We start from the raw sequence: 7,656 nt of genomic DNA, 5'->3' as shown, positions 1-7,656 counted from the left end.
CACTGCCTCTTCATGTAAGCTCTGGACCTGCCATCATAAGACAAATGGGAAGAGGTGTCCTACCTTCCTAAAGGCATTTTCCAAAGTGATTTCTGAAGATATCTGATATGGGCAACTTTCCAGAATTAGTTCAGTTGTTAAAGGTTTCACGGATGAATAAATGGTGTGGGGGATGGGGGTTGAGAAGAGGTCAGAAGGAGAGACAGCGTGGAGAATGATTTCCAAGGCTGGATCTTTTCTTTATTTGATTCTAGTAAATTTTAACGAGGCCCTTAATAAAATCCCAGTGCTTAGCAGAGCCTCCACATTTACAAGTTGCCAGACCTGGGGCGGAAGAAGGGAAGTTGGAATCCTGGCGCTCAGCTTAGTCCTGCTGACCTTTCACAGTTCAGGCGAGCCAGGCTTGTAAGATTGAGCACTGCACTCTGAGCAGAGCACTCCTGCCCAGATCAAGTGGCCAGAATCCTCACCCCAACACAAGGCTGGTCCCATCTCCTTCGAGGTGGCATCCTTCAACGGGCACACCTGAAGTGGATGGCTGCCAGTTGGTGAGACACTGGAAGGAAATACACACAGTTATCACAGGTCAGCAGAGCTTCATGCCATTTTGCTTCAGGATTATTACAAAATAAAGTCTTCTAGGCAATCATCAAAATCCTCATCTCCCAATCTATAAGATGCCCTTTCCTGTACCCCCGAAAAATGGCTTTCATCAACAATGAAGAGTTATCATTTGTATTTGCTATTTAGTAGATAATAAATAATGTTTATAACATATCAAGTTATAAAGAATAAAAAATGACAATAAAAGTGGTTCCTACCTTCTAACACCTAGTTAAACCAAAAAAAAAAAAAAGCAAGAAAGAATATTACTCTGTTTTTGAAGTCCCCTATGTTGAATGAATAAATGATATTTTTATCAAAGTGGGCAGTGCTATACAGGGGGCTTCCCCAGAATCATACTCTTTATTTCCTACAAGATTCATACTTAACAACAACAAAAGTACCAGCTTTTGTAATAGCAAAAACAGCTGCAGCACATTTGCTGACAATAACATCGGGTTACTTTTCAAGTGTGGTTGAGTGTTTTCCCTTCCCTTTGACCTGATGTCCATAAGTAAAGATTTTAGGATGTGTAAAACCCTGAGCTCTGACAGAGCAGGCCCCTCCTCTCCCCCAGCAAATGACTGTCTTGAGTGTGCTGGGCAGTGCATTCCTCAGCCTTCCTCCTCGGGGGTCTACAAGGGACCTCTGATAGTCTGGCCTCATTCTTTGCACGGCTCTCTTCTCCATAAATCACCTCCATAAATCCACACTGTCCTCATTGAGCCGCGGAGGAATGAAGCCATCTTCCTATTTGTAGATGGGTGTCACCTGGCCTGGAAGATGATAAACCAAAGCTTTAGTAGCTAGACCTATTACAATTTTGCCTAGAAGCCACAAGCAGTGGAGACTTACTATGGTCACCTCTCCAAATTAAATCTTTTCATAGTTCTGGCTTTTTTACACACTGGAGAGTGGTAATGTGGAGTCGGACACGCCAAAAACTCCAGGGTTCACAAAGGCTTCTAAGAGCCATTTTGGAACAGAACTCGGTGATGTCATTTCTGGGATGCTGGAGCCTGGGCCAGGCTGGGACTCAGAAGCAATTCAGGGTCCAGGAGCAGAGCTGGACTGGAGGCTGAAGCAGGTGTTGGTTATAGCTTCGGCCCTTATAGACTTAGAGTCTTCAGTGGGCTTAGCTTCCCTGAGCCCTGCTCTTCTTTCTGGAAATAATTAGACCCACATTTCTCATCTCAGTAGGTTATGGGAAGAATCAGATGACATAGTCCATGTGAAGGGGCTTCATACTGTAAAGCACTCTAAAAATAAAAGGCTTTTTTTTTTTTTTTTGGAAACAGAGTCTCACTCTGTCGCCCAGGCTGGAGTGCAGTGGCGCGATCTCGGCTCACTGCACCCTCTGCCTCCGCCTCCTGGGTTCAAGCAATTCTCCTGCCTCAGCCTCCCAAGTAGCTGGGACTGCAGGCATATGCCGCCACGCCTGGCTAATTGTTTTGTATTTTGGTAGTGACGGGGTTTCGCCATGTTGCCCAGGCTGGTCTCGAACTCCTGAGCTCAGGCAGTCTGCCCACCTCAGCCTCCCAAAGTGCTAGGATTACAGGCATGAGCCACCACACCTGACCAAAAGGCATTATTTTCTGATAGGGATGAATCTCATTCCACAGACTGAGTTTTACAAACTCAGGTATGAGTTTTAGTCCACATCATTTTGTCAACTTAATTTCTGTTTCATGATCTATCTAGGGCTGCCAGATTTAGCAAATAAAAATACAGGACACCCAGTACAGGGCATCCTGTAATTCACTGGCAACTTTAGCCTTACCCTTCCAGGCCACCATCCAGGAAACCATGGTCAAAATCGCTTCAGTTCCACCCTCAGTCTGGGCCATAGTTCTAGGGACTTGGGCAACATTAAAATAAAGGAGCAACCAAGCAAGTTAACTCTGGATTGCCCCTTCCCCTTATCGCTGTTCATCTGGCATTGTTAGGGCTAGCAACTCTCTGTGGTCACACTGGGTACCTGAGAAGTTGCTGCCAAATCACCTCTGGTCCTGTGTTTGCCTAAACATTCCACACCGCCACTTTTTTAGGGTCTTGTTCAGACAAAATTCATGACACTAGGTCCCCTTTGCAAAGCACCCAGCTATGCTTTTTCCCACAAACCCTCGTTTGCCTCCTTCCTCCTGTAAAACTCGATTGGTTCACCTCTGGACAACAGCTTTTGGCATTTCAAAGCCAGGGAGTCTTGCATGCTACTTTTCCTTTCTGTTTTACAAGTTATCATCCCTGAGGCAGTGAAGGCAAGGCTGATTGGCTACTTGCTTGAGGAACAAGAACAGAAAATAGATGAAAAATAAATATAAATTAATAGTTCAAAATATGTTCCAGCCATCATTAAAATTATGTTCATCTAGCATGTATTTAATTATACCCTATATTACAGTGTTCCTTTCTCAGTCCTTTCCCGCCCTACATTTATAATTCTGGGAGGGATAAGCATATACTTTATCATGTCTGATGTCTTACCTGAAGTAAGTGCTCAGTGAATGCTCAATGAACTTGTTTTGGTGGCACGCAGCTACTTAACATGACGTTAGGATGTAGCATTAATCAGCTATGAGGCTGTCACTATCTGTAACCTAAGCCCCTTTTAGGAAAGGTAGCTTCTCTCAGTGATAACGACAGACCAAATATGACAACCCTGGTTTACTACAGGTTTGTTCTTCATGGGTGTCTGGGTGGGGCCAGGGGGCCTGGTGCAGACAGTTGACCTGGAAAGAGCTGGTGACTACACAGCGTGCTTGCTTTTCGGCGAGGAGGGAAGAGCCTGTTTGCAAACAGACTCCTACATGTGACATTTGGCATCATTTCTCACTAATGACATCTTTCTGAGAGCCTTGCAGAGATTGTCTGCTGACTCACCCAAGTTACGGTCACCCAGAGACACAGCTATGTGGGATCTGAGAAGCGAATTAGCAGGTTGTTGGTCTCTAAAGGTGCAGGGGAGGACATGGATGTAGAAGGGGAGTTTCAAGAGGAGGAAAACCATCTTCTAGTTTAATAGCTTTCAAGGACCATGTGCACTTGCTTTGTGCTCTAAGATAATTGCTTCCTCCTAATTAACCTTTCCTGGTTTCTCTTTTAAAAAAAAATTGTAATTTTGGCTCATATTGAAATGTTACCTTGGGTGCAGAGAGGTCAAGCTGCCTTGGTTCAAATCCCAGCCCGACCAGCTGTGTGACCTCACACAAATTACTTAATCTCTGAACTCCAGTTTCTTCATCAGTTCAATGCAAATAATGACAGCACATAAATACATTCATCATGAGGTAGTTGGAGGGGTTATGTGAGAAAATGTGCTCAAGTGTTTGCTGCAGTACCTGGAAAATAGTAAGGGCTTAGTGAATGTTTGCTATTATTGCTTTCAGAATAGTTTATCTGTGAGGCAAAGGAAGGGCAGGAATACTTTCCATTTGAAAAAGAGGATGCAAGGCAGGAGGATCACTGGAGTCCAGAAGTTTGAGATCAGCCTGGGCAACATACGGAGACCCTGTCTCTATTTTTATTAAAAAGTTAAAAAAAAACAACAACAGCAGCAGCAACAACAAAACAGATGGTGAGACACAGAGAGACCGTGTGGCTCATCCAGACTCACAAGGGAAGTCAGTAGCTGAGCCGGGAGCCCCTCTTTCTCAATAGAAAGGTGGAGCTAGCCGGGACTGCAGGTCTTATCTCGTCTGGGCCCACCTGCCCAAGAGGTCTGTGGATTTCTCTGGCTCCTTCCTGATGCCAGCTCTAGCTATTGCTATGGCCTCTTCTCCAAACCCCTGTGCTTCTCTTCATGGCTAGGGAAGTCAGGCCCGTCATGGCTAGGGAAGTCAGGCCCTTGTCTTGGAGCCTCCTCCCAGCCTTGCAGCTTCATGGCCACAGATTATGTGGTGACCCAAAGATGACTGCCCACAGGAATCATTTGCTTTTTTTCATGAGTCTAGAGATCCCTTTTCTATGAGACCCAATGTTTTCTCTAACTCACATCCTCCCAGAGATGATTTCTTTTCATTGCAAAGAATTGATCTTATTTTTGCCTTTAATCTTCATCTTTCCTTGTGTGAACTTTACCCAAGAGAAGAATAAAATTATCATTAGTTCACCAAGAGCCACATAGAGCTGGGAGTCTATCTTACATCATGGCAGAACAATGGCCCTCTGCCTGGTAATACCAAAAGAAAGTGTCCGGTTCTCCAGGGATGGGGCTCCACAAAGCTCAGGACCAGACCTCCAGGCAGGCTGGCTGCTTTGCAAGGAGATCTCTGTTTGGTGTCCTATAAGGCAACAGGGAAAAGGAAAATTCACAGGGAAGATTAATGTCTAAATTAATATCTAGCGATAACTTTTTTGGCCCTGAGTGCTTCAGCAAGAGAAGTCATGGGGAGCCCAATTTCAAAAGGCAAAAGGTGTGTATGTGTGTACCTGCATTATAACTGCATTAGTTAAAGGCCATCTTTAGTTCTGATTACTCTCGGGAAGAAACGCTATTAAGAGGGGCTTTCTACTTGGAGAAAGTGAAGATAGTTAAAACTCTAGCAGAGCAAGTCAGTGTATATTCAGTGAAGCAGACAGGCTGCAGTGTATGTAGGCAAACACATGCAGACTATACACCCAAAATACACACTTAACACACACATAGGTATGTGTCATGCAAACTACTTACCTATCCAGAGATTCCTAGACACTTTCAACCTAATCTTATTTTAACATCTATTCGTTTTGGATCAAAAAGCACGTAGAATAAGGTTGGGTCCAAAGGGACTGCCTGATGTTCCACCCCTTCATCCTTGGTGATCAGGGCAGAGCCCCTGGAATTGTCAATGAGTCATGATGACAGACTAGGAAAACATCCAAGATACTGAGACTTGGCAGTATACAGGTTGTATTAGTCTGTTTTCACACTGCTTTAAAGACATACCTGAGACTGGGTCATTTATAAAGGAAAAAAATTTATTTGAGTCACAGTTTCACATGGCTGAGGAGGCCTCAGGAAACTTACAATCATAGCAGAAGGGGAAGCAGGGACCTTCTTCACAAGGTGGCAGGAGAGAGAAGAGCAGGGGAAACTGCCCTATAAAACCATCAGCTTTTGTGAGAACTCACTCACTATCACGAGAACAGCATGGGGTAAACCGCCCCCATGATCCAGTCACCTCCCACCAGGTCCCTCCCTTGACCCCTGGGGATTACAATTTGAAATGAGACTTGGGTGGGGACACGGATCCTAACCACATTACAGGTTGCAGTTGGGGGGTGGGGTGGGCAGGGCTGCGTGATGAGAGTAGCCTGGCTTACCAAGTGCCCAGGGCATGCCTCAGGCACCATGTATGTGTATCCAGACACTCTGCAAAAAGGCCAAGGGGCTCGACTCTCATGTCCAGCAACAGGAACGGTTGGGTGGGAGGCACTCAGGCTTCCTGGTAAAGCAGTCTCTCATTTAGGGAACTTTGGGGAGGAAAAGACAAATGGAGGTGAAGAATTAACTTTTCTTTCTTTGAATTTTCAAATCCTGTTTCTAATAGTAAACACTAGGTTGTTGTCAGCTCTTTGTGCTTGGAGAGTTGTGTGTGTGTGTGTGTGTGTGTGTGAGAGAGAGAGAGAGAGAGAGAGAGAGAAGAGGGGGAAAGAGAGAGAAAATCTTTAAATTTTAATTGGTCTGCAATGGAAGATTTAACTGTTTAAAAAACAAAACCCTCTTGGTCCCAGACCACAACTTGTGTGTAATGTGGGAGGCTGGGGAATAGTGAAGAAAGAGGGAAGGGAGGGGTAGATTCCTCATGGCTCCACAGGGAGTCGTGTTGTTAAGGGATGAAGGAACCAGCCATATGGACAGTAGAATACAATCCAGATCTGCCAACTCTCTCATTGTCGCATCTCTTAGGTGAAGAAGCTAATTTTTTGCTTTTTGTATTATCCTATAAATAAAATAGATGATTAGAGAAGAGAATGCTTTAAGGTTTACCATATACCCAAATTCAGAGGATGGCCAGGCTGGTTGGTAGTTACGCTGCAAGGCCCTGAATTACAGTAAGACAGCAGTGGCCTTGGGGACCAGGCATTACCACTTGGTAGGATGATTTTTTTCTTGTCTGTGTCCCCTTTCACTTAGATTATGAGGCCTTGCAAGGCTGGAACTGGGCCTGCCTTGTCCACCACAAGGACAAGGGCCTAGCACAGTGCCTGGCACTGAGGAATTGCCTGTTGAAGATTCGACAGCAAATACCTGTTGAATTTTCTATGGGCATTTTGGGGAAAGTATAAACTTGAAGTTCCTATGGCCCTGCTGACTTCTATGCACTGCTGTTTGTTTGCAACACCAACCTTGAGCAATAACATAGGTTGCCTTTGAAGCCTTTTGCGCTGCGTTTCCCCCAGAGCTCCAAAGGCGCAGAGTGCCAAAGGCACAAGTACTCACCAGCAAGGCAAGTATGATGTCTGCCCTGCTTGCTGCTGTACCTGAAACTCTAGTATAAAGTGTCTGGAACATAGTAAATATTTGTCGAATGAATGAATATTACAGCTGTGTCCTTTGCTATATCCTGATTATGTAGCTGAAAGATGAAAGTAGGGATATACATACTGGTAATATCATGAGTGTCATTTGCAAATCCTTTCCAAATGGTGTTAAACTGAGTTGAATGTATTGTCTCCATTCTCATTCAACCTTGGCCCAGGTCATCAGGGAAGATGCTGGTGGTGTTGCTGATGATCATAGCAACCACACTGGTTATAATGTTTACCGTTCACCTTGCCATGGGCCAGGAACTCTCCTATACATGTTACATGCATCATCTCTCAAGTGTTTGTAGCCACTCCATAATGCGGACGTTAGATTCTCTGTTTTACAAAAACTGAAGCTCAGAGGCTGTTGTAGTCAGCTCAGGCTACTGTCACAGAATATAGGCCTACCTGGGGGATATTATGGGTTCCATTTCAGACCACTGCAAACAAAGTGAGTATCGCAATAAAGTGAATTACACAAATTTTTTAGTTTCCCAGTTCATATAAAAGTTATGCTTACACTGTTCCATAGTCTATTTTGTAACA

General features: G+C 44.5%; 1 protein-coding gene across 3 annotated transcripts in view, besides 1 other annotated feature; it reads left to right on the top strand.

Moving 5' to 3' along the window:
• Positions 1–7,656, top strand: part of SLIT3 (slit guidance ligand 3) — a 639,400-nt gene that overhangs the window by 288,337 nt on the left and 343,407 nt on the right. The gene's annotated exons all lie outside the window — the stretch shown is intronic.
• Positions 4,974–6,173: an enhancer, noted in NCBI's record as "MED14-independent group 3 enhancer chr5:168433635-168434834 (GRCh37/hg19 assembly coordinates)". NCBI's record gives its function as "activates an origin of replication core promoter dependent on BRD2, BRD4, P300/CBP and CDK7 cofactors, and independent of MED14, by STARR-seq in HCT116 cells {active_cell/tissue: HCT116}" and the evidence as "EXISTENCE:reporter gene assay evidence [ECO:0000049][PMID:35650434]".

The sequence above is a fragment of the Homo sapiens genome, chromosome 5 (genome assembly GCF_000001405.40).
Source record: "Homo sapiens chromosome 5, GRCh38.p14 Primary Assembly".
NCBI classification, from domain to species: Eukaryota; Metazoa; Chordata; class Mammalia; order Primates; family Hominidae; genus Homo; species Homo sapiens.
Note: the sequence above shows the minus strand (reverse complement) of the source record. Positions and strands in the feature narration are given on the sequence as shown.